Consider the following 26119-nt stretch of genomic DNA (forward strand, 5'->3'; position numbering starts at 1 on the left):
GTGAGCCACCACACCCAGCCCAAGTTTTAACTTTCAAAGAAAATTTAGATGCTTAGAAGGATAATGTGAGAGCTTTTCACAGATATTCACAAAAACCTACAGAACTGTAAAAAATGCTGTTGATTAATCTTGACTTTTATTTTTTCATTTTTCTCCTAACCACCCTGAGGGGGTTTTAAACAGAGAACTAGAAATGGGATTCTGGAAAAGCCTTAGTTCCTCAGAGCAGAGGGGTCATCTTACTTCACCAAGGGAAAACTTGAGTGATTTTACAATTTTTAAGCCTTCGTATAAATGCTTCTCTGCCATCAACCCATTTTTTTTCTTTCTTTTTTTTTTTTTTTTTGACAGAGTCTCACTCTGTCACCCAGGCTGAAGTGCAGTGGTGCAATCTCGCTCACTGCAACCTCCGCCTCCTGGGCTCAAGTGATTCTCTTGCCTCAGCCTCCCGAGTAGCTGGGATTACAGGCATGCACCTCCATGCATGGCTAATGTTTGTATTTTTAATAGAGATGGGGTTTCACCATGTTGGCCAGGCTGGTCGCAAACTCCTGACTTCAAGTGATCCAACCTCCTCAATCTCCCAGAGTGCTGGGATTACAGGTGTGAGCCACCGCACCCAGCCTCATTTGCGTTCTTTTGACTTCTTCTGCATCAGTCTGGGTCTAGCTGCCTCGTCCAGGTGCAAAAAGAAGGGAAACCTTGGTTCACTTCCTGGCTTCCCACTCGTTCTGAGCCTGTTTCCTTGCTGGAGTGCTAAGCACCTACTGTGTCCCAAATTAAGGGCATGCAACAGTCCCACATTTTAAGTTTTGGGAGGTTGACAGAGTCCATCTTCTCCCAAATCCTGCTTGTTCAGCATCATCACAGGAAATGGCCGGTACACACAGTTGACAAACACCAGGAATCCCCAGAAAATAGAACATCAAGGTAAGACAACCACAGTATGTCAAAATGCATGGCTGTCAGGGTTGGAGATACCCAAGTGTCAGGCTCATCAGACCAGGCTGAGGACAGGCAGAACATGGTAGAATTCAACCATATACCCAACTTAGACAAAATGAAGCTGAAAAGCCTTACAGGAATATCATCAGATCACTTTCTAAAGTCTCTAGGAACTTCAATATCATGTGTGTTTTGAGTCCAAGTCAGGCAGGCAGCTAGCTGCCCAAACTGAAACGGGTGGTCTCTGCAAGGACATTGGGAATGACCCCTGGACCATGCTTTGCAGCCAGACCCCTGGAGCAACTGCACTTACAGCTAGTCCTTCCTGCCACTGACTGCAGACCCTTCCATGACACGGACCATCAGAGTCACCATCATTAGCTTTGCTTTTTTGTCCTTGTAGAGTTGAGGGAGCTAAAGCCACCTCCAGCCCCTGTGGGATGGATGCTCTGCTGAAATTCCTGAGCAGCACAGCCAGCCCCAGAAGTTCTAACTCTCGAGAACCTGGGGTAATGGATGGCAAGGACAGAAATGAAGACTCTGCTGCAGTGCTAAGGACACCTTTTAACTGTGTCACATTTGCCAAACTTTGCCTTAAATGTATCACGGTAACTGATAGTTTTGACGGAAAAATAAAGATCCCTGATATGGCTTGGCTGTGTCCCCACCCAAATCTCATCTTAAATTGTAGCTCCCACAATTCCCATGTGTTGTGGGAGGTACCCGGTGGGAGGTAATTGAATCATGGGTACGGGTCTTTCCTGTGCTGTTCTTGTAATAGTGAATAGGTCTCACGAGACCTGATGGTTTCATAAAGAGTTTTCCTGCACAAATTCTCTCTCGTCTCTCGTCTGCCGCCATGGAAGACATGCCTTTTGCCTTCCGCCATGATTGTGAGGCCTCCCCAGCCACGTGGAACTGTGAGTCCATTAAACTTCTTCTTCTTTATAAATTACCCCATCTCAGGTATATCTTTATCAGCAGAGTGAAAACAAACTAATACAATCACAAACTGAAATTCCATGGCGCTTGTAGAACATCATGTGACTCTCACGGGGTGGCCCTGCATCTCCCCTGTGCCCGGGTGATAACTGCAGAGCACACCTCCCTCTGCTCCCTGGAGTGCTGGCATAGGAAGACTTCGGGACTGGACTGCGGAGTCACAGCTCTGTTCTGCTTTTGTCCCTAATTAGGTATGTGGTCTGGGTTGTTTCACTTTCTCAGTTTTCTTTTGCTTTCCAGAATGTCTAAAGCTTCTCATGGCCCAAAAATTGTTACTGGTAACGGTAAGAGTAGTGACAGCACCCACTGAGGGGATCTATTGTGTCTAATAAGGGAACATGCTGTGTCCTTTACGTGAATTAGTTCATTCACTCACAACCTTTACTATCCCCATTGTCCAGCTGAGAAAAGTGAGGTTCAGAGGTTAGCCAATAAGGGACAGAGTCAGGACCTGACTCTGGGCCTGATTCTGAAGCCTGAGTCCTACTCATTCTGACAGTGCCACTCAATGCCGTCACTACACTTATATGTGGCACATCGCCTAATAAGCACTGAACTCAAGATGCTGCTTGGCTTGGCTGGCAAGTCCCAGAGTGAAGCTGCTCCGTGGGCTTCTGGGCACTCAGAGGCTCAGACAGGGCCTCTGTCCTCCCTCTCATCCCTCCTCTCCGTCCTAACCCTTTAAACTACTTGTTCCATGTCCCAGACTTGCTTTTGTGGGGAATTGATGAGATATTAATGAAACTGGCTAAGGGGTGATCTGTACCAGAGGACCAGCTTTTAAGGGTCTTGTGGGCAAAACCTACTGAACCATCCAAGAGGTGGCAAAAAGGCTGTCCTACAGCACAATCAACCAGGACTTCAAACACTGTTTCTGAAAGCATTCAGTCCAATCAGAGCACTGGAGCAGCCACACAGCTGCACAAGAGATTCAGTCTCCAATGAGCTATTTCCCTGTGCCTCTCGCTTCCAGTCACAGGCCATGCTCCTGAATCCAGCCACTGACAAACTCGTCTCTTTGGCTGAAGGTAGATGGGGCCAGTGTGGATGGGTGAACCTGTTACAGAGAAGCCTCCTCTATAGCACCATACTTCTGGCTACAGAAGGATTAACACATACAAGACTCTTGTCATGACCATTCCCGCAGTTCACATACACATTCCAACAACACAAAAAACAAACGCACAAAACATCTCTAATCAAAAATGTGTAGAAATAGCTGGGCACAGTGGCTCATGCCTGTAATCCCAGAACTTTGGGTGGCCGAGGCAGGCGGATCACTTGAGGTCAGTTTGGGACTAGCCTGGCCAACATGGTGAAACCCTGGCTCTACTAAAAATATAAAAATTAGCCAGGTGTGGTGGCGGATGCCTGTAATCCCAGCTACTCAGGAGGCTGAGGCAGAATTGCTTGAACCTGGGAGATGGAGGTTGCAGTGAGCTGAGATTGTGCCACTGCACTCCAGGCTGGGCGACAGAGACCCTTTCTCAAACAACAATAACAACAAAGTGTAGAAATGATGTGGTTAAAATGAATACTTTTTAGTCTGATCAAAAGAGGAATTACTTTTTTACTTGTTGCTGCACTACATTGAAAAAAATTTTTTCACACAAAACTATTTTGTAAAGTTCAGTAATTTTTGCCACAACAAATTTAGAAGTTTGGACCAGAATATATTTTATTTTTCTCATAAAAGTTATACCAAAAATATATTTTCTTAACTTAAAAATACAGCTTCAAAAAGCAAAATTTGAGTTGTTAGAATTCATTACACATTTTATAAACAGCAGTGAAAGGAAGAAGTCAGCAGAATGGATTCAATTTTTAAATACACAAATGTTCATTTCACAAGCTTGACTTTGTCCTTTAATAACTTAAAGGTAGGGTTCTTGCTGATTTTCTTGTTAAAGATGACCAGGAGTTCCTCTTCGGATCTGTGATGCTCATCTGTCACTGTGTAGTACTGAGCTAAAACCTTCACAAAGAAAAACATCAAATGAGTGTATTTGACCTGGAAAATTATCTTAAAATGTTCTGTCTTTAACCCAGAAATAGAACAACAGGAAAAAATAAAAGAAACCCAGGAGCAAGCGACACCGGCGTGCTCTCCTTGGAAAACCCAGGCGGCAGCCACGTGCAGGGGTTTGGCCATGTGTGAGTCATCCTGAGAAACAAAGTGAAATAAAGGAGAAGAAACCACTGCTCTGGGATAGGCAAAAGAGAGCAAATATCTAGAAAATAATTTCCAAACAATAAAAATTAAATAAATGGAGCCTCTCTTCAAAGTCTTATAAACAAGCCCAAAATCTAGGCACCACCCTGGCTGAGGCTGTGTGGGGCTTTGGAGCAGCTTGAAAATCACTGAGACACACACACAGATTTTCAGTGTTTTAGGTGAAAAAAGAAAAAAACAAACAATTGTACATTTAGAAATAAGTTCTCCCCAGCTGTTAGACACGTGGGTTTGTTCATATGCCATACCTTTTTCCTTAGCTTTTTGATGGTTATTTCATTGTCTGGGGCCTGTTTCAGAATTGCTTTAATAGTTCCCTTCCAGTTGAATTTACCTACAATATAAATAATAATATTTAAGACATTTCGTTTTGTTGTACTACGAGAAGGGTAAAGAAACAACTTCTGCAACACCTATTTGCTTCCCAGGAAATGAGCTAACCCTCTAATGAACCAGACTCCATAGCACCAAGCATCTGTTCAATTCCAATGTCCTAGAAGCACTCACTACCCTTCAAAGGACTGGCTCTTAAGAGTGAGCAGGTGCCCATGTGCTATTGGCATGACAAACTCCTAGATAGAGTTGTATGTAATGAACTCAACACAGATTTCCTAAGCATCCACTAAGATCATGGGGCTGTCCATGCACAGTAGGGAGGACAAAGATGAGCAAAACAGCTTGACCTGAAATGAGAGAGAGGACAACCACAAACTATTATAGAGGAACTAAAAATACTCATCTAGGGAACTTCTGCTTCTGGGAAGATGGAGTGGACACACTTTCCCCTTCCTCCTGCCCACTACAACTGAGAACCCTGAAACTATATAGGCAAGAAATGTAAGAAGACTCTGAAAGGTAGAGACCAGCTGGGACCTCGGGGCCTGCAGAGCAACACGGGGTGAGCTTCTTGCTGCCTGTACCCCAGATCTGGAGTTGAAGAACCCAGCAACCTGAACACCAACAGCACAGACAAAACAGTCCCAACAGAAGCCTGCTCTCTTGGCAAAGGACCGGGAAACGGCAGCCTAGCAAGACAGAAAACTTTTGTATAATAACAACCCTACTGCAGCCACACATCACAGAAAAAACGGTGGCTCCACCCCCACCCGCACCAGCAAAAGCCGAGTGGCGAGCCTGAGTTCTCTACCCTCGCAAGGCTGTAATGAGGGACGGTGTCACAGAAGGCCAAGCAGGAATTCAGGGGTCTCATCCACACAGGCCGGTCATGAGGCTGCCCCTGCTGTGATGTCAGTGGAACCTGCACCAGGAGCCCTGCCCGGCAGGAGCAAGAAGTGGCCATCCTCAGGTGTGGATGGAGGCTGAGTAGAGAGCCTGGACTTCCGCCCCCACCTGACAGCAACAAGGCCGTGCCCCTCCACAACCACCAAAGTCATGTGAGAGAAAGCCAGTTAAAACAGAAAGCGTAAACAGGATCTCACACCTTACAAAAACAACTAACTCAAAATGGATCATGGACTTCAATAAAAAATGTAAGACTAGGAGGCATTTAACATAGACCTGAAATTTGCTGTGAGGATATATCTTAAGTGTTCTCAACACACACACACGTAAACTATGTGAGGTGATAAATGTGTTAATCAGCTTGATTGTAGTCACTATTTCACAATGTACATGTATAATAAAACATTAAGTTGAGCTGGGCATGGTGGCTCATGCTTGTAATCCAGGCACTTTGGGAGGCTGAGGCAGAAGGATTGCTTGAGCCCAGGAGTTCAAGACAGGCCTGGGCAACACTGCAAGACCTCCGTCACAAAATTTTAAAACTTCGCTGGGTGTGGTGGTGTGTACTCGTAGTCCTAACTACCCAGGAAGATTGCTTGAGCTCAGGAAGTTGAGGCTGCAGTGAGTCATGATCACACCAATGCACTCCACCCTGGGCAACAGTGAGACCCTGTCTCGAAAAATAAAAATAAAATACAGTAACACATTAAATTGTACACCTGAACTACATAAAATGTTGATTTGTAAAAAAAAAAAAAAAAAAAGTTATCCATTAAGATAATTTAGAAAACAAAAAAATCTTTAGGCTCTAGGGCTAGGTAAAGAGTTGTTAGCACAATCCATAAGATAAATTGATAAATTGAACTTTATCAAAATAAAAACCATTTGCCCTAAAAAGACTCTGTTATGATGAAAAAACAAGCAAAAAGACTGAAAAAAAATTCACAAACTGTTATGTCCCACAAAGGAGTACTATTTAGAATAAATTTAAAAACTAAAATCTCAACAGTTAAAAAAAAAAAAAACCCACAAAAACAACAACCAAAAAAACCCCAAACAACTCAAATTAGAAAATAGGGGAAAAAAATTTAAAAAAAGAGAGCAGACATTTCAACAAAAACATATACAGATAGCAAATATGCACAGAAGAAGGTGCTCAACAACATTAGTCATTAGGGCCACACAAATTCAAACCACAATGAGCGGTTACCACACATCTATCAGAATGGCGAAAATACAACACAGTGGCAACGCCTAATATTGACCATGATGTGGAGAAACTAGATCCTTTACACACTGCTACTGGGAATATAAAATGTGTACAGAGACTCCTGAAACAGCTGACAGTTTTTTCCTTTTTAAATTTTTGTGGGTACACAGCAGGTGTATATGGGGCACGTGAGATATTTTGATACAGACATGCAATGTATGATACTTACATCAGAGTAAATGGGGTATCCATCACCTCAAGCATTTATCCTTTTGTGTTACAAACAATCCAATTATACTCTAGTTATTTTAAAATGTACAATTAAATTATTATTGACTACAGCCACCCTGTTGTGTTATGAAATACTAGATCTTATTCATTCTATTTTCTTGATACCCATTAACCATCCCCACCTCTCCCACAGCCTCCCACCACCCTTTCCAGTCTCTGGTAACCATCCTTTTACTCTCTATCTCCATGAGTTGGCAACTGTTTTGATTTTTAGATCCCACAAATAAGTGAAAACATGCTATGCTTGTCTTCCTGTGCTTGGCTTATTTCACTTAGCATAATGACTTCCAGTTCCATCCACGTTGCTGCAAACGACAGGATCTCATTCTTTTTATGGCTGAATAGTACTCCGCTGTGTACATGCACCACATTTTCTTTACCCATTCATCTGCTGCTGGACACATAGGTTGCTCCAATCTTGGTTATTGTAAATAGTGCTGCAACAAACACGGGAGTGCAGGTATCTCTTCAACACAGGGATTTCCTTTCTTCTGAATATATACCCAAACAGTGGGGCTGCTGGATTGGACGGGAGCTCTATTCTTAGGTTTCTGAGGAACCTCCAAGCGGTTCTCCATAGTGGTTGTACTAATTTACATTCCCACCAACAGTGCACCAGCGTTCCTTTTTCTCCACATCCTCGCCAGCATTAGTTATTGAGCTGGTGGTTTCTTAGAAAAGAAAGAATATGCAACTACTGTATGACACAGCATTGAACATTCGCTTCAGAAAAACTGACTTAGTTCACACAGAAACCTGCACATCAATGTTTACTGCAGCTTTATTCATTAATAACCAGAGACTAGAAACCACCCAGGTGTCCCTCCACAGGTGAATGATGAAAGGACTGTGATGCACGCACAGCACGGGATACTCCTCACCAATAAGATGAATATTGGTCAGTTCAGCAACCTGGGTGAATCTCCAGAGAAAAACGCTGAGCGAAGAGTCAGTCTCAAAAGGTTACATACTGTATGATTCCATTCATAGAACATTCGGAGATTCCAGAAATGAAGAACAGATTAGTGATTGCCAGAGGCTAAGGAGGGGGTGGGGGTGAGAGGGAAGTGGCTGTGGCTACAAGAGGGCAGCAGGAGGCAGCCTTGCGCAATGGCGATGGAAATGGAAGCGTATCCATGTCAACATCCCGGCTGAGATGCTGTACTACAGTTGTGTAAAGTGTTATCCTGGGTGGCAACAAGGTAAAGGGTACGCGGATACATAAGGACGCCTGAGTCTCCATTATTTCTTACAACTGCATGTGAGTCTACAAGGATCTCAAAACAAAAAATGTAACAACAACAACAAAAATAACCATTCCAGTTGTCCCCCTTGATCTGCAGGGGACAGTTCCCAGACCCCCAGTGGATGCCTGAAATCACAATGGTACTGAACCCCTATATATACTGTCTTTCCCTAAATATTCATTCATGCCTATGACAATGCTCCACTTATAAATGAGGCACAGTAAAAGATTATCAATAACTAATAATAAAATAGAACAATTTTACAATACACTATAATAAAAGTTATGTGAATGTGGTCTCTCTGTGTCTCTCTAAATATCTTATTGTCCTATCCTCACCCTTCTTGTGGTGAAGAAGGCATACAGCAGGACAGCAAGAGATCTCGCCATGCTGCTCAGAACAGCATGCAATGGAAAACTTATCAATTGTTTATTTCTGGAATTTTCCATCCCACAGATATGGGGACACTACTGTTTACTAAGTTGAGAAGGGGGTTTTAAGCTTAGAGATCTAACCCAATGCTGGCAGTCACTGAACTCTGCTAATAAAGCTGCAGGCCCATTTGAGTCTTTGGACCTGTTCTGAACTGCAGGATCCTGGGGGTTGGGGGAGGTGGCAGAGAGATGACGACTTGCCACCTCCCGACAGGTATGAGTGCTTCAGGCCTGAAGAAGCAGGAGAGAAGCTTTGTGTAAGAGACAGCATTTCAGAGGGCCCGTGAAGGCCAGGGACTGGATTCTGAGGTTGAGGATACAAGCAAGGAGACCCCAGAAACAGGCCCAGAGATGGGCAGGGGCACAGTTCAGGGGACTTCTAAGAGAACAGTGAAAGGCAGGGGCAAGAGAGTTGGGGAGGAGCGAAAGGGAACCGGGTCTCAGAAAGCTATATTGGGCTTATTTAAATTTCAAAGATAACATACATTTCCAAACCAGACTGCTTTACTTTTCTCCTTAAAGACAGTGGGTGAGAGGCACTGTAAGACTGACTCACACACCCTAGAGAACTGATTTTACTTTCAAATTCTTATATATACCTCTGGAGGGTAAGACCCTACTAGAAGTGCCCACATTACACCTTCCTTCCCCAGAAGGGGGCATCTCTCGGCCCCTCTCCCAACCTACAAGGGACCGTGTATTTCTCTCTTTTCTTTTCTCTCTCTCTCGCTTTTTGAAAGTGGTACGCCCATGGCTCACTACAGCCTCACACTCCTGAGCTCAAGTGACCCTCCTGCCCCTGCCTCTGAAGTAGCTGGGACTATCAGCGAGAGCCGCTGTGCCCAGCCGTGCTCCTCAAATGACAGCAGTGATATACCTTTTGCAGGAGCCTCATCGTCTTCTGGTTCTCCGCCCTCAGGATGCTCTGGGAGCTTCATCTTTTTCTTCTTAGAATCTGTTTCAACTAAGTATTTGGAAAGATTTTTTTTAAAGAAGATTTTGCATTTACGCTAGCAGCTACCATTTAATGAGACCTTATGCGAGCTAGGCAAACTCCACGTATCATCTCATTTCTTCTCCAAGCTGCCCAGCCCCGGTTTATAAAACCCCAGGAGGGTTTTATCCTCCTCCATGCTGGAGATGGGATGAAAGGAGTTGAGAAGTGAGGTCATTTGCCTGGGCAGGGCCCACCTCTGCCTGGCCACAAAGCTTATGCTCGTTCCCTTACTTGGTTCAAAACATAAGGTCTAGCTAGGTGCGGTAGCTCATGCCTGTAACCCCAGCACTTTGGGAGGCCGAGGGGGGCGGATCACCAGAGGTCAGGAGTCCGAGACCAGCCAGGCTAACATGGCGAAACCCCATCTCTACTAAAAATACAAAAATTAGCTGGGTCTGGTGACACACGTCTGTAATCTCAGCTACTCAGGAGGCTGAGACAGAAGAATCGCTTGAACCTGGGAGGTGGAGGTTGCAGTGAGCTGAGATCGTGCCACTGCACTCCAGCCTGGGCAACAGAGCAAGACTCCGTCTCAAAAAAAACAAAAAAAAAAAAAACCACACACACACGCACACAAAACGCTAGGTCTAACAGGCTTAAATATCCCAAATTCACAGCTTTCCCGGTTTTCAGATGAATCCCAGAGCGTGAGCTAGCCACTTACCTTCCGAGTGCCTCCGCTTCCTCTTCCCTGCGCCCACGCGTGCCTCTTCCTCACTGGCGCTGTCCTTGCGCTGCTTCTTCTTCTTGCTCCTCTTCCCTGCAGAGCCATTGGCCTCAGGGACTTCCTCCCCACCAGCCTCAAGGTCAGCCTCCTGTCCCTTTTTGCGCTTCTTAGGCTTCTGATTCCTTGAGTTTTCCTGGTGGTTTTCTAACTTTAGTTCTTTCTTTTCTCTTTTCCTTTTCTTCTGCCGTTCTTCCTTTCTTTCTCTTTTATTCTTCTTCACCTCCCCTTGCTGTTCCACGGCGTCTTTCACTTTGGAGGCTGGAACCTTGGTGGAGATTTCTGCATGTGGATTTGCCACTGGGTGGAGTGGCCGTTGATCCTGTTCCTTATTGACTGGTTCCTTATCATTAAGCAAAAGCAAGAAACACATATTCATTTTAAATGTGTAAATAGAGTTGTCACGTTATTGCCTGGGCCTACTACATAAACTGTTCAAGAAAAACGGTTGGTTTAATCCCTTATCGTTTTATAACTGTGACCCCCACCAACAGCTAAAATGTAGCAGTAAATATACAAAATGGGAAACCACTTCCCCCAGTCCACACCCCTCTGTCTGCACAGAACAGACATTTTCATTCCACTGGAAAAGTGAAGAATCCTTATGTCGCTGAAGATAAGACCTTTCATTCCAGCTCACTATTCACCTTTTAGATAAGAGAAGAGTACTTAGGGGTGGTAGAAACCACTGGATGTTATGTGTCTGCAGACCTGGGTTCAAGCTCCAGTTCTATTAATTCCTAGTCAGGTGACTAAGGGCAAGTCATTTATCTTTTCCAAACCTATTTCCTCATCTGTAAAATGAAAGGTAGTAATACCTACCTCACACACGGACGGATGAAACGAGGAAAGATCCGTCATGTGCTTATTAGCATAACACATGCCCAATAAACCAGCCCATTGTGTGTGAAGAGTTTTGTAAATTATCAGCCTTAGAAAATGGTACTGTTATTATCATCATTATTCAGACTGGAAAGTTACCATTAGAAGAATGGTCACCATTCTCATCATTCTTTTTTTTTTTTTAATGGGGACAGGGGTCTTGCTTTGTTCTGTTGCACAGGCTGAAATGTAGTGGCACAATCTCAGCTCACTGCAACCTCCAGCTCCCAGACTCAGGCAACACGCCTGCCTCAGACTCCCAAGTAGCTGGGACCACAGGCGCAAGCTATCAAAACCGGAAAATTGTTTATTTTCTGTAGAGACGGGGTCACCATTCTTTACGTATGGAGGTGTCTCTCTAATGGTTACCCCTGTTAAATACATTACCTCATTTATGTATTTTTTTTGGGACAGAGTCTCACTGTCACCCAGGCTGGAGTGCAGTGGTGCAATCTCAGCTCACTGCAACCTCCACCTCCCAGATTCAAGTGATTCTCCTGTCTCAGCCTTCTGAGTAGCTGGGATTACAGGCATGCACCACCACACCTGGCTAATTTTTGTATTTTTAGTAGAGACAGGGTTTCACCATGTTGGCCAGGCTGATCTTGAACTCCCAACCTCAGGTGATCCGCCCGACCTGGCCTCCCAAAGTGGTGGGATTACAGGTGTGTGCCACAGCGCCAGGCCTTGCATTACCTTATTAAAATCAGCACATAGAGCCTACTTTAAACAGTGACATCAGCAAGTTCAGTCCCATTCCTTCCTGAACTCCCTCCCTGAGCCCCTTTCTCAAGAGATGACCTGGAGCAATTCATTGAACTGTTCCATGTTCCCTGATGCCTCTGGAGGGAAAGAGAGTGGCCAGTGGCTGCTTCCAGGTGTGAGAAACCACTGAGCTGATGCACCTGCAGGCGGGGGTTCAAATTCCGTCTCTGTTAGTCTAGCCAAAGGACAGGGTAAGTTACCTACAGTCTTCCTCCTTTGGGAGATTGTGGGTAGCAAGGACTATGTCCTCAAAACTGGACCAAATAAAAAAGGACAAGCTTTCACTAGAGTGCAAGGACTCAGGACTCAGACCTTAAGGCTCGATCCTTGGCTACAAGAGCAGCATTAGAAAATGGATACTGGGGAGGCTGAGGCAGGAGAATCACTTGAACCCGGAAGGTGGAGGTTGCAGTGAGCCAAGATCACGCCACTGCACTCCAGCCTGGGTGACAAGAATGAAACTCTGTCTCAAAAAAAAAAAAAAAGAAAACGGATACTGTAGGCCGGGTGCGGTGGCTCATGCTTGTAATCCCAGCACTTTGGGAGGCCGAGGTAGGGAGATCACCTGAGGTCAGGAGTTTGAGACCAGCCTGGCCAACATGGTGAAACCCTGTCTCTACTAAAAATACAACAATTAGCCAGGCGTGGTGGCAAGCGCCTGTAATCCTAGCTACTCGGGGGGCTGGGACAGGAGAATCACTTGAACCCAGGAGGCAGAGGTTGCTGTGAGCCAAGATCGTGCCACTGTACTCCAGCCTGGGTGACAGAGTGAGACTCCGTCTCAAAAGAAAAGAAAATGGATACTGATGTAACCACCTGGTTTTCTCAGTAGCAGTGGCTTAGCAGCATCAGGTTGTCAAGGCTCATGGGGTAAAGGGCAGAGGAGGATTTCAGAAATAGACTTAGGAAGAAGGGGACAAAGAAACTTCACATCTGTCCTACAATTCTGTCGATATCTTCTAGTAAAATATTATTATCATTATGATTTTTTGAGACTGAGTCTCGCTCTATCACCCAGGCTGGAGTGCAGTGGCACAATATCAGCTCACTGCAACCTCCGCCTCCCAGGTTCAAATGATTCTTGTGCCTCAACCTCCCGAGTAGCTGGGATTCTAGGCGCCTGCCACCACACCCAGCTAATTTTTGTATTTTTAGTAAAGACAGGGTTTCACCATGTTGGTCAGGCTGGTCTCAAACTCCTGACCTCAACTGATCTGCCTGCCTCAGCCTCCCAAAGTGCTGGGATTATAGGCATGAGCCACTGTGCCCGCCATAAAATATTATTTTAACCACTGAGAGCCTGAGACCCTGGCATCCCTTCTACACAATCCAGACCAGATTTTCAGCTGGTGCCTTGCCTCTTTGTCTAAACCAACTCCTCGGCCACAGGGAGAGAGGGAGGGAGGCACACATTTACCCATCTGGTAGCTGCTCAATAAATAGGTGAACCAATTCTTCCCCATCTTCTTTTTACCTCATTACACACTCTCCTCAAATGTGGTCTCCTCTGTGATGCCCTGACTCTTTCCTAATCGAGCACCTCCTTCAGTCCTGGCCTCCCAATGCCTCTGGCTTCTTCCCAGTGCTGATCAGGACCTGACATTACACCATGGACCCGCACGTGGTGCCTATCTCCCCCACTAGAACACAGCTCCAACCAGCCAGGACCTTGGCCTAATTACAGTTGCATCCACAGTGATCAGGTGAACTGTGATGGGGTAGAGGACAGAAAAGCATCCGACCTGACATCTGGCAGAGTTACAGGAGGATAAACAACCAAGGTACGGAGGACAAGGCCTCAGGACCCTCTGCTCTGCACTACAAACACAGGGTATGCTGGGAGGGCCGTGGTGCAAAGGCAGAGGTAAGGGATGACAAGCTGCGTTTCGCAGAGCTCAGGGTTTACCAGGGGCTGTTTACTCCTTATTTTATTTAATGTTTAATATGTTCACACTTCAAAAGGGAAACTGGAAAAAACTTTCTAAAACCCTGCAGTTGAAGCAATTTCAAATCTTTGATTCTTAGTTAAAACAGAAATAACCTTAAAAAATAGATGCCACATAAAGGCCAATCTAATGATCGGTTATACGGTTTCAAAGGGCCAATTTGTACCTTCTGAAAGAGACAAACGCTAGGTGTACTACCGAGATAAATTTTCATCTTGATGCCCACTTGTTGCCGAAAGTATTCTCTCTACATAAGTGAATCAACTCCCGATAATTTGATAAGAATGAAAGACCAGTGGGGTTCTGACCCCACTGTTTTTTGAAACTGATATTTACACAAAAATAAACAATGTAATCAACAATGTGGCTGAAAGATAGCAAACCAAGATTTTCTACATATATAGTCCACATTTAGGGTCTCTATTCAACCATTTTGACTAACAGGTGGCTGATTTAATTACTTGAAGGGAATTCTCCTTCTACCAGAAGGAAGGCGCTTCAAGCACACTGCTCATCTACCTTAACCGTAACCTTCAGAGGCTGCTGTGACCCCCTCACCCCTTATCCAGAGGAACACCTAGTCACTACGTCCTCACCCTGTTTTATTTTCCCTCATGCACCACCACCTGGGATACTTTAGATTTTTTTGTTCAGGTCCTGGCACAGATCAGACACTCAGTTAAGTATTAAATAAATGAATGAATATTACTATCCACATTTTTTTTAGATAAGGAAACTGAGGCTCAGAGGCTAAATAATGTGCCTAAGATCAAACGTCAGGCAAACTGCACAGCAGGGATTTGAACCAGGTCTGTCAGAAATCCAAAGCTCCTGTTCTTTCTTTCCCATGTATCTATCTCCCTGCCTGATTACTAAGCAAATCATTACATACTGGGCTGGCACCAGCATCAAACATTGGGATGAAACATCTTGCTCTTCACAATAAGGAAGTCTCTGCAGTGCATTCAGTTTCTTCCTTTCCATAAATGAAGGCACTAAGAGGTTCTCTAAAAAAGAAGGCTGGGCCAGGTGCGGAGGCTCATGCCTGTAATTCCAGCACTTTGGGAGGCCAACGCAGGCAGGTCACCTGAGGTCAGGAATTCGAGACCAGCCTGCTTAACATGGTGAAACTCTGTCTCTGCTAAAAAAAAAAAATACAAAAAATTAGCTGGGCATGATGGCTCGTGCCTACAGTCCCAGCTACTTGGGAGGCTGAGACACGAGAATTGCTTGAACCCAGAGGCAGAAGTTGCAGTGAGCCACGATCGCACCACTGCACTGCAGCCTGGGCAACAGAGTAAGACTCCATCTCAAAAAAATAAAAATAAAAAAGAAGGCTGCCTTGACTTCCAAAAATAAGAAATTCCCATTTCATTATTACTAATTATTTTTGCCACAATGCAAATCTAAAATCAGATCTGACTTACGCTGTTGGAAGCTTCAGAAAAGATATTCCACACCTGGTCCAGAATGGATTCATTATGAACTTTTAAACTGTTCTTCATCCAATTCTGTAAGAAAGAAAAAGAAAAAGAACTATTGATCCCACTTGGACAGGTACACACAAGCTCAGTCACTGATGGGCCACACGGCCCCCTCCATTCAAGAAAGTCAATTCATACCTGAAATTTTGCCTTTTTCCTGGGAACGTTGTCAAAAGCACTAATTTGCTCTAAAAGTTCTCTCACTTTGGGGCTGACATTGGGTCTCTTTATTAATTCACTAATTTTCTACAAAAAGGGAAGAAAAAAGAAAAACTATTAATAAACAACCAACATGAGTTTCATGAAAGCCAATTGAAAAAGTCCTTGCCATGGCTAAAGCGTTCACGTTTTAAGCCCAGATTCTGTATTTATGTCTATGCTTAAAAATATATAGGTTAACTTCTATTAACATAGTACTGGAGTCCTAGCCAGAGCAGTTAGGCAAGAAAACAAAATAAAAGGCATCCTAACTGCAAAGGATGAAGTAAAATTATCTCTGTTCACAGATGATGTGGTCTTATATGTCAAAAGTCCTAAAGAGTCCACACAAAAATTGTTAGAATAAACAAATCCAGCAAAGTTGCAGGATACAAAATCCACATTCAAAAATCAAGTTGCATTTTATATAACAACCAGAAAGAGAAATTAAGAAAACAATTCCATTTGCAACAGCATCAAAAAGAATAATCAGGAATAAACTTAACTGAAGAGGCAAAAGACTTGTTTACTGAAAACCAAAAAACACTGCTGAAAGAAATTAAAGTAGACACAAATAAATGAAAAACATTCCGTACTCATGGACTGGGAGACTTAAAGTTGTTAAGATGTTAATACTACCCAAGCAATCTACAGATTCAATACAATTCCTATCAAAATCCAATGTGTGTGTATATATACGTTTTTACAGAAACAGAAAAATCCATCCTAAAACTCACAGGGAATCTCAAAAGATACCAAATAGCCAAAACAATCTTGAAAAGAACAACAAAAATGCAGATCTCATATTTTCTGATTTCAAAACTTATTACAAAGCTGTAATAAGTTTCTGTAGTTTGCTGACCCCTGCTTCAGAGGATTTCATCGAGTGTGACAGCAGCAGAGACGGAACTCACAGACCCATGCACCTCAACCTTAGGGTCTAGGAACGTCATCTGGTTTTTAGAGAATTACAGAGAGTGCTCAAAAGTGTGGCTGCTGGTCACCAGTGCAAACAGGATTTCATTAGCTTCTCAATCTGCTCTAGTAAGTCCTTTGTGAACAGAAATACCCTCCCAGTAGTATGCTCATTCAGTAAGCTAGTTAATGTCTGAAAAATTCACGTTCCAACTCTATTATCAAATGGAACGATTACTTTTTATTGGTTTTTAGAAAAACACAGAATTTTCAATAGATGACATCCGTCTTTTCATTATCCCACCTTCCTTTCTGAATCCTTCCTCCTGCTACCTATTCTGTAAATGATCAGTAGCATTCTGAGAGTTATACTTCCCAGTGAATTAGGGAGTCAATGTTTCTGCCATTTCTACTGTGCATGTTTTCATGCTGTTTTAGTTAAGTAGAAAATTCTCTGCATTGACGAAAGTATCTTTATTTTGCCTAATTCTAATGACTGGCAGATGTGACAGATTAACATGGCTTGAGTTATAAAAGCTCCATTATCACTAGAAGCAGGGAGAGATTAGAAGCTTCCATTTAGTTTTACAGCCAAGGGAAAGCTAATGAGAATTCTAAAACTTTTTTTTCAAGAAATTAACAAAACACATGGATTAAAGGTATAATGCACCGCAACTGTTTTAACAGCTAGAAGAATAAAGAACTTTTTTTCTTTCTTTTCTTTTTCTTTTTTTTTGAGACGGAGTCTCACTCTGTCACCCAGTACAACCTCGGCTCACTGCAACCTCTGCCTCCTGGCTTCAAGCGATTCTCCTGCCTCAGCCTCCTGAGTAGCTGGGATTACAGGCACCCGCCACTATGCCCGGCTAATTTTTTGTATTTTTAGTAGAGATGGGGTTTCACCACGTTGTCTAGGCAGGTCTTGAACTCCTGACCTCGTGACTCGCCTGCCTTGGCCTCCCAAAGTGCTGGGATTACAGGCGTGAGCCACCATGCCCAGCCAAAGAATTCTTTTTCAAGAGGTTTTAGTTCAACCTGTCTATCCTAGGACATGAGGTTTCCAGAGCTTGTCTGCAGGGATGACACATTTACTCTTAGTCTCTTGGGCTTCCAAAGAAAGCGGAAGCTGTCAGAGGAAGCTACTCAATGAGTTAGAGAGACGTTACCTGAATCCACGCCTGCTGTTTGATGTCGCCTTTGTGGGTTTTACCTTCATAGCCTTTGCCACCATACTTCTGATCTTCACTTATGCATTTCACGTGGTTTTTATAGTCATCGCCCCTTTAAAGTGATCAAAAGTTCTGCCATTAGACTGATACCCAAGTTGGAGGCGCTAATACCAGCATGCTGCCACTATCTTCTGTGGTCTACACTGTATATTTTCACATGTGTCTATCACACAAGCACCCCATCTATTTCACTTATTATGTTTACAGCCTCCTGGTCAGAACCACATCCCCCTTCCTCCAAAGTCGTCAATATAAAACCCATCACCAAACTTTTCCCCCATTTTTATAAACACCTTAAGCTAAATTGATAGGCAGTATTTTTTTAAGTCATAAGTGTACATATACTGAATAAACAAGAAAATAGTTCTATGCAATAGGGTAGTTTTTTTAAATTATAAAAATCTCAATGTCTAATAGACAGTCAATAATTAGTTGTAGAATAAATCAAAAACAGATATAAAATGGCAGCATGAGGTTACCAACAGTTCTGGATCCCTTAGGGTCCTGAGAAAAAAGAAAACTAAATTCTCTCTCATATAATCTTTGTAAAGCTCTATGGGGTTCTTCAGGGAAATGTTGGGGACAAGGTCCAGGGCAAAGTCCCCTAATGAAAACTCAATTTTAACCTACTTTATATATCAAGCTTCCTCCTAGGATTACGTCTGAACAGAGGTTAGCAGTTTCCAAAAAAAATCACTGCTCCAGAATGAATTAAAAGAGAGTATTAGCCAGTACCATCCGAATGCCTCAGAGGACACTGGGGCAGATGCAGCCAGAAGCCAGCTTCTCGCCTGGACCTTCTGAGGCTGAAGGGGAATCAACATGAAATTCAAGAGGGGAGCCCTCTGCAAACGACCCACCTGAAGAACCGGTGTCTAAGGCAGGATCTGTCCTGTCCCTCCCCGCTAACTCCTCACATTCACAGAGGCCTCCTCAGTGGAAGTGTCTCCTGACACACCCGTGGGGCCAGGAAGAGCCTCACTTCCACCAGCACCTCTGATTTTCTAGGGAGGACATAGTTTCCTCTGCTACCAGTCATCTGCCCCACTGTGAGCTCATAAATTCACTTTCTGGTTCATAAGTCCATCTCTCCACTGTGATGGGCATGTGATACCCATGGTCTAATGAAACTGGCTCTAAACCCCTGGAGCCATCTTCCACGCAGTTAGTTCCCTGGGTCTGTAAACAGTGGCAATGCAATAGCAACCAGTGTCACCAACTGACTGAACACTCTAATCATCATAATTCCCCTTCCCCTAGTCTTTTCTTTAACATATCCTCAAAAAGCAAATTGTTTCGTAAAGCACATTTCTCCCCCCCAAGAAGGGGTTAACTTGCTCTGTTGCCCAGGCTGGAGTGCAGTGGTGAAATCTCGGCTCACCGCAACCTCTGCCTCCTGGGTTCAAGCGATTCTCCTGCCTCAGCCTCCCGAGTAGCTGGGATTACAGGCGCCCACCACCACGCCTGACTAATTTTTGTATTTTTAGTAGAGACAGGGTTTCACTATGTTGGCCAGGCTGGTCTTCAACTCCTGACCTCATGAGCCACCCACCTTGGCCTCCCAAAGTGCTGGGATTACAGGCCTGAGCCACTGCGCCCGGCCTAGTAAAGCACATTTGAAAGAATCACACCAGTTTTAATCAATGGAACATACCAGTTTTTAGTCTTAATTTCATTCTTCAAATTTGCCACTATTTTTCCAAGCTTTGTGGCGCCAAGGCTTCCAAAACTGATCTGGATTTACTATGGATCTACATGAATTCTGTGAAGCTTACCAGAAATCTTTACCGCAGTCAATGCAAGAAAGGCATTCACAGTTTCTGCAAACAGACACATGCTTTTCCACTTGTATTTTCTTCACTGATTCACCACATGCATTGCATGTAAAAAATACCATTTTTAGGTAAATGGCTAAATATTCTCTATCCAAGACAGGTTTTAAGTCTTGTCCTAAGGAAAAAAAGACAATTATAATTATAAACTGAAACTTCTCATTTCAATAAATGGCTCATGCCCCTAACTTTTCAACCATAATTTCACATGAAAATAACAGAGTCAAAGTTGATTAGCAATCTACATAAAATTCCACCATTCATATAAGTAAAACTAACATTAACAATGAGAATGGCTAACATTTATTGTGTCCTTACCACGTGCCAGGCACTATTCTAGAGGCTTTACATTTATTCACTTATTCAATCCCCGCAGTAACCCTATGAGGGAAGGACTATTATTGTTCAAAATTTATATGAGGTAACTGAGACACAGAGATTACATAACTTGCCCAAGGATACACGGTTAACAGAACCAGGATTTAAACCTGGCAGATTGGCTCTCAAGATGAAGAGCTTTGAGGGTGTTAAATCTTACTTTCCATAATACCTTAAACTCTCTCTCTGTATATGAAACTTATAGAAGGCATTGCAATTTAGGTGTACACTACAAACTATTTCAGGTCCTCAAATATACTAAGAACACAGCAAGAGGAAAACTGAGTGAAGTTTAGAAAGTGAAGAAGAGGCAATTCTATGGGCACAATTTCTATGGCACTAAAAGCATTCATATCAATATTACTATATATCTACAAAGGTTAAAATGAGGACATGCGCCTCAGCTGTAATGGACAGGGGCCTTCTTCATGTGGCAGCTTGTCAGACAAGTCAGAAAGAAACGGAACCAAGTCCAGGTGTCCCAACTGCTGGGTGCTGAATTACTGGAGTTCACAAACCCAGGTGTCCCGAGCACTGCCCCAAAAAGAAGTATGTCTGCACACGCACATAAACATCATTGTAAAATTTCACAGAAATGCTACCGTGCTCAGGAAAACACAAATTCGTCTAGAAGTGTTAGAGAAGTCACAGTAATTTTCCATACTTACATAATTTTTAATCACTAGATTTTAAAACAGCATTGTTGTTTTACATTATAAGTTTTACAGCAAAAATACTGAGAACTGTTTAACCCAGAGCTTTCTTCCTCATTAGGAAAATAAAGGTGAGGGTCAAGTAAACCGATGCAATTTACTTCAGGGTAGGACTTCATCCAACAAGCTTTCAGTACAAATGATCTACCCTTGGTTTGCAGAGAATTCCCATGCATGAAATCACCGTTGCTCCTCCACCAGCATGTTTTGGATCACTGCCAGTGAGGCCACACCCAAGCAACGACCAAGGTTATTCATGTCCATTCAGCCTTGAATGGAAATGTACATCCTGGCTGCATCTCCAGGGTTCACAAAGGTCCAGCTGGTCTCTTGTGGAGGCCTCTTGCCCTGTGGGACACTATCAGACATCAGCTCAGCTTCTACGCTACATACAAACCACAGACCCCTGATTCCGCGGTCCCAGGCCCCGCTCCTCAGCTCACTATCAGTGTATGTTAGTAAACGGACAGCATGTGGTCAGCTACAACCTAGCACCAAATCCTCAGGAAGGAAAACATGACTACCCTCGATGTGCTGCAGCAACTGTCATCTTCTCATCTGCTTACTGTAAAGATGTGTGATATTGTCAAGCTCCTGGGAGCTGGAATCACGTTTCCCACAACCCAGCTCCCTCAAAGCTTACCATTCTAAAAAAAGGCAGAGGGATGATCAACATGTCAGGCAACAAGAGCAGCTATCCTGCCTGACAAGGGAGAACAAAGGCTGGAATAAGAGCCAACATCACATTCTCAAAGAGCATGGAGGTGCACTTTGGTGTAAGAGCAGGAATAACTTATTAGTCACCAAGAAATAGATTGTCATCACAGGCACAAGGTGAAAGCAGCCGTGATATGCCAAATTATCTGCTGAAAAACGTTAAAGCACTTTTCTAATAAGATACAACAACAAAAAACAGTCTCTGAAACTTAGATACGGCTTAGAGCTTGCCAACCTCTGTTGCTGAGGACAATTCTATTTCTGGATGGAGTGGGAGATGGGAGGAAGAAAGGTTTCGACAAGGCTTAAGAGTGAATTGAGAGATTCCTGTCCCAGCAGGAATTAAAGGCCTAGGAAGGAAGCTGGAAACAAAATATATTGACTGAAAGAAGCAGTGAAAGCAGTGATGTTGACAAAAAGATACTCAAGAGTAACTGTGCCAAACATTCTATCTCTCTGGAGATCGGCTACACACTACAGTGTAATTAAATATCAATTCAGAAGGTGATTAGAATCTGGTTACATGTCCAGCTAAAAAATAACTCTCACATCATTTTCATTTGGTCTTTACTTGTTTAAGGCCAAATGGGTGGATTGCACAGGAAGTCAGAACTGTCTCTTCCTGCCTTCCTCCGGATTTTTACACTTGCCATGAAATGGGAACAGCTCTGTGTCCACTTGCTTGGCTAATGAGCTAATGTCTGTAAGGAGCTTACCTCTCCTTTATTCAGAGCCTGGAGGACAGTCCAGCACCTTGATTACACCTCAAACCCAACCTAGCCCCAGGCGAAAATACCTGTAATTTATGCCATAAACACTTGCTTGGGCTTCAAAGAAAAGCTCAAAACCATCAGAAGCTTCAAAGTCAGCCTAACTGCACAGCAGACAGGGTGTCCCAGGTCTTAGTGCAGGCTTAATATTCGTAAGCGTAAATGCTACAAACTTACAAAAAGCCGTCAGGTGGAAATTCAGTCCCTCTAATGGAAGACAGCAAACATTGCCTAAAACAAAAATGTAAATACTACAAACTTACAAAAAGCCGTCATGTAGAAATTCAGTCACTCCAATGGAAGACAGCAAACATTGCCTAAAACAAAAAAGTAAAACGGTATTGTTCAAATTCCACAAGACTAGATAAGCATGAAGGAAATTTAATTAAACTTTTTTTTTTTTTTTTTGAGAAAGGAGTCTCGCTTTGTCGCCCAGGCTGGAGTGCAGTGGTGCATTCTTGGCTCACTGCAAGCTCCGCCTCCCGGGTTCATGCCATTCTCTTGCCTCAGCCTCCCGAGTAGCTGGGATTACAGGCATCCGCCACCACGCCCAGCTTATTTTTTGTATTTTTTAGTAGAGATAGATGGGGTTTCACCGTGTTAGCCAGGATGGTCTCAATCTCCTGACCTCGTGATCCGCCTGCCTCGGCCTCCCAAAGTGCTGGGATTACAGGCGTGAGCCACCGCGCCCGGCCTTAATTAAATTTTAAATGATGTTTTGGCAAGTTTGGATCATTTATGCTTCTGAAATTATGAAAGCTTAAAACTGCATTAAGATTTTGAGGACACCCAGTCTGCCGGGCTCAGATGTGACAGATTTCAACATCTAGCCCTAAGTGTAAAAAGACAGCAGTTTTTTCATGGGGCTGGATCTAAATAGAGTCCTCTTTTCCTTCCCTGGCTCCCCAACTCCCTCTGCCCAATGTCCAGTCCCAGCGCAGCCAGAGAGATTCTACATGCTTTCCTTCTGGCCACATGCGCATGTTAAAAGAGAAAGGCAGGCAGAAGGCAGTGTTCTTGGACTGGTTGAGAGCATACTTCGGTTCTTGCTCAGTCACTTTAACTCAATTCGGCAGACATTTCCTGAATGCTGACACTATCCTATCCACCCAGATACACCTGGGGCCCTCACGCAGGTCCTCTGCGTGTGCTCCTGGCTGCGTCTTCGTCTGTCTGTATGGTCAGTTTACTGAGCTCTCATCACATGCCATACCCATGAAAAAGATGACGGGGTCTGCACCATAGAACACATGATCATTAGCTCTCTACAAAGCCGTGTCCCATTTATGAACACAACTGCCCCCAATACCACTAAGACTGCTATGATCATACTACCTCCATCTGGAGAGAAAACCTAAGGCTCAGGAGGGTAAGTGAACTGCCCGAAGTCACAGTAAGTGGCAGAGGTGGCCTGAAAGACCAGGCAGCAAGCCCAGGCTCCCACCCTGCCTCCATCTTGACCTGCCATGTCCTAGCCGTTTGCTTGGTGGTTACTCAGCACCTGGGACCTTGAGGTCCTCATCCAAAGAGAAAAAAAATTAAGGTCTCTATAAGATGACTTTCCATGTATAAATATTAGAACCCTAAGTCTTAATTATAAAACCTCTGTGCAGTGGGCAAGGAGACCACCCATGTCACAGGAGAGGCTGTCAGGGTCTGGACAGCAAAGCTAGCTGAGGGGCAGCAGCCAGTGGTCACTAAGGGGCTGGGAACTTGTTAGTCTTCTCTTAACAAGATGGTTGCCAGCTTTTGTTGGACAGGGCCCTGACTCAGGTGTAGAGGATCTGAGCTGGAGCCTACATCTGCTAATGTCAAAAAAGTCATTAAAAACTAAATGACCTCAAAGCACCTTAACTTCCCAGAATCTGTTTATCTGTAAAATGGATCTAATACCTAACTCAAAGCATTGGGTGGAAAGTTAAATAAGACACCAGATATGAAAGCTTCATCCCTGCCCAATTGTAGAAAGGTTTCTCTGTGACCTACTAATTTGCACATCAATGCTATTATACCCAGCCCCCTCCTAAACCCATGCTCCTTTAAATATGACCATCAACCCACCCATTTATGTTCATAAATTCACTCCAACCTTCTCTGGCTCCTCACCCCATGGCTGCCTACTTTACCAAGTTCCCTGATAACATGCCCTTAGGTTTGGTTCTGAGATTGGAATGATTTTTTTTAAATCTTCTTCCCTCTATATTTTTGTATTACTTATTCAATTTTTTTTCTTTTTTTTTTTTTTTTTGAGACGGAGTCTCATTCTGTTGCCCAGGCTGGAGTACAATGGCGCAATCTCGGCTCACTGCAGCCTTTGCCTCCCAGGTTCAAGTGATTCTCCGGCCTCAGCCTCCCCAGTAGCTGGGATTACAGGCACATGCCACCATGCCCGGCTAATTTTTGTATTTTTAGTAGAGACGGAGTTTCACCATGTTGGCCAGGCTGGTTGTGAACTCTTGACCTCAGGTGATCCACCCTCCTCGGCCTCCCAAAGTGCTCGGATGACAGGCACGGGCCACTGCGCTTGGCCTTGACTATTCTTAAAATATTCTTGCATGCACATGCAGACACTGACCTACACATCATTACCACCACTACCACTCAAACAGCCCACCTGAGGGGCCTAGCTGGCAACCCCAGGATATCCCCCACTGAACACTGTGACCCTGAGCATGCCACTGCCTCTATAAACTTCAAGTTATCTCATCTGTGAAACAAGAAGTCAGGCCAACTTGACAAGACTCAAGCCCCTTCCACGGGTAGCATTCTGAGAAACCATGGGTATGGTGCAAGAGAAGGACAGACAAACATACTCTGTCCACCATCCTGCCTAAACCTTTGTGTATGAGGCTGACAAGGGTTACAATGGGTGACATTCACAAGGAGAGAATCTCTCCCTTGTTCCTTGCAAAAGCCCTGGGAAGTAGGTGCACCTATCTCCACTAAACAGATGAGCAAACTGAGGCACAGAAGCCATTTCTCTCTGCCTCCTACCCCACCCACGGCATCACCAGCACTGTTTTAAACACCATCCCTTCACTCGAGTAACTACCATGTGTCAGGCACTATGCTAGACCCTGGGAGCCTCGGGCACAGTGTGAGTAAGTCCCAAGTGGGCCCTCTCTGCTAGAAATCAGGGTTGCAAATACAGACCCCACCTCATCCTCCTCCCTCTCTCCTCAGAGGTAGGTGCTTCAGAGAATCCTAACATTCATGGAGCACCCAAGCCCTCTCATAGGAGGTTAACACATTTCTACTCATGTAATCCTCATCACAGTTCTCCGAGTTAGATTCTATATGTTATGACAGATGAGGAAAGTGAGGCGCAAAGAGGTTAAAAAACTTACACCAGGTCATCCCACATCCAGGTAGTGGCAACCCAGATTCACACGCAGTAGTTATTCTGATCCTAAGTATGTGCTCTGGACCGCTACATCCTAAGGCCTCCTCTTTAGGGACTGATCTCCCAAGGCTCAGAGAAGAGCCCTGTCTCCAACATGCAGCAAGCCTGAAGCCCAGTCGGGCGGTGACCAATCGTCCTGGTTTGGCCAGGCCCGAGGGAGTTCCCAGGACGCCGGACCTTAAGTTTTAAAACTAAAACGAGTTGGTCACCCTAAGTCCAGGACTCCTGCCACTTCCCCAGAGCAGGAGTGAGATCTGAATGGAACTCCTTCCTCCATGCGTAACCCAGAGGGGCTGACGGTGGAAATCCCGTCCCTCCCCTACTCACTCTCTGAGCCCCAGCCTCCCAGGTCGGACCTCTGGGCCACCACCCCTCACCTCTCAGCCAGCGCCCGCCAACGGTTTCAACCGGCCGCGGGGAGCACGTGGACTCGCCGCCGCCAGCCCAGCGCCGCAGCTACCTGCCTCTCAGGCTTCGCGGTGCAGAATTCGCTTCTGAACCACCCAGCGCGCCTGCGCACCGCGGCCACGCCCCCCCCAGTGGAAGTGACGCCAACGGAAGC

At 44.4% G+C, this 26119-nt stretch overlaps 1 protein-coding gene across 4 annotated transcripts, besides 3 other annotated features; it reads right to left on the reverse strand.

Moving 5' to 3' along the window:
* Nucleotides 1–3599: 3599 nt before the first annotated feature.
* On the reverse strand, nt 3600–26053 carry LYAR (Ly1 antibody reactive). 4 transcript variants are annotated; one of them, NM_017816.3, is made up of 10 exons: nt 25935–26053; nt 22418–22471; nt 19520–19694; nt 17682–17796; nt 15541–15648; nt 15346–15429; nt 10266–10668; nt 9482–9568; nt 4429–4514; nt 3600–3922 (listed from the first exon to the last, which is right to left on the reverse strand). In NM_017816.3, the coding sequence occupies exons 3-10, from the start codon at nt 19639–19641 to the stop codon at nt 3788–3790; spliced, it is 1140 nt and encodes a 379-aa protein (NP_060286.1). In that variant the 5' UTR covers nt 19642–19694; nt 22418–22471; nt 25935–26053; the 3' UTR covers nt 3600–3787. The 4 variants fall into 4 exon arrangements, with proteins under 4 accessions (NP_060286.1, XP_011511807.1, NP_001139197.1 ...); XM_011513505.2 differs by having other exon boundaries at nt 25502–26053; NM_001145725.2 differs by lacking the exon at nt 25935–26053 and adding an exon at nt 25885–25920.
* Nucleotides 5300–5477: a silencer, noted in NCBI's record as "fragment chr4:4271128-4271305 (GRCh37/hg19 assembly coordinates)". NCBI's record gives its function as "represses an EF-1alpha promoter that drives an FKBP-Casp9 reporter gene in an ReSE screen in K562 erythroleukemia cells {active_cell/tissue: K562}" and the evidence as "EXISTENCE:reporter gene assay evidence [ECO:0000049][PMID:32094911]".
* Nucleotides 24002–24540: an enhancer, noted in NCBI's record as "H3K4me1 hESC enhancer chr4:4289830-4290368 (GRCh37/hg19 assembly coordinates)". NCBI's record gives its function as "activates a minimal SCP1, AML or CMV promoter by ChIP-STARR-seq in naive H9 embryonic stem cells {active_cell/tissue: H9 hESC(naive)}" and the evidence as "EXISTENCE:reporter gene assay evidence [ECO:0000049][PMID:30033119]".
* Nucleotides 24541–25078: an enhancer, noted in NCBI's record as "H3K4me1 hESC enhancer chr4:4290369-4290906 (GRCh37/hg19 assembly coordinates)". NCBI's record gives its function as "activates a minimal SCP1, AML or CMV promoter by ChIP-STARR-seq in naive H9 embryonic stem cells {active_cell/tissue: H9 hESC(naive)}" and the evidence as "EXISTENCE:reporter gene assay evidence [ECO:0000049][PMID:30033119]".
* Nucleotides 26054–26119: the final 66 nt, after the last annotated feature.

This window comes from Homo sapiens, chromosome 4 (genome assembly GCF_000001405.40).
Source record: "Homo sapiens chromosome 4, GRCh38.p14 Primary Assembly".
NCBI classification, from domain to species: domain Eukaryota; kingdom Metazoa; phylum Chordata; class Mammalia; order Primates; family Hominidae; genus Homo; species Homo sapiens.

Excerpts from the sequence above, each read along its gene's own strand:
- LYAR (XM_011513506.4), bottom strand. The coding sequence starts at position 19,641 with ATGGTATTTTTTACATGCAATGCATGTGGTGAATCAGTGAAGAAAATA. Across the intron at positions 17,797-19,519 it reads GACTGCGGTAAAGATTTCTG|GGGCGATGACTATAAAAACC; the intron begins GTAAGCTTCACA and ends ATCACTTTAAAG. Across the intron at positions 3,923-4,428 it reads TCAAAAAGCTAAGGAAAAAG|GTTTTAGCTCAGTACTACAC; the intron begins GTATGGCATATG and ends TTCTTTGTGAAG.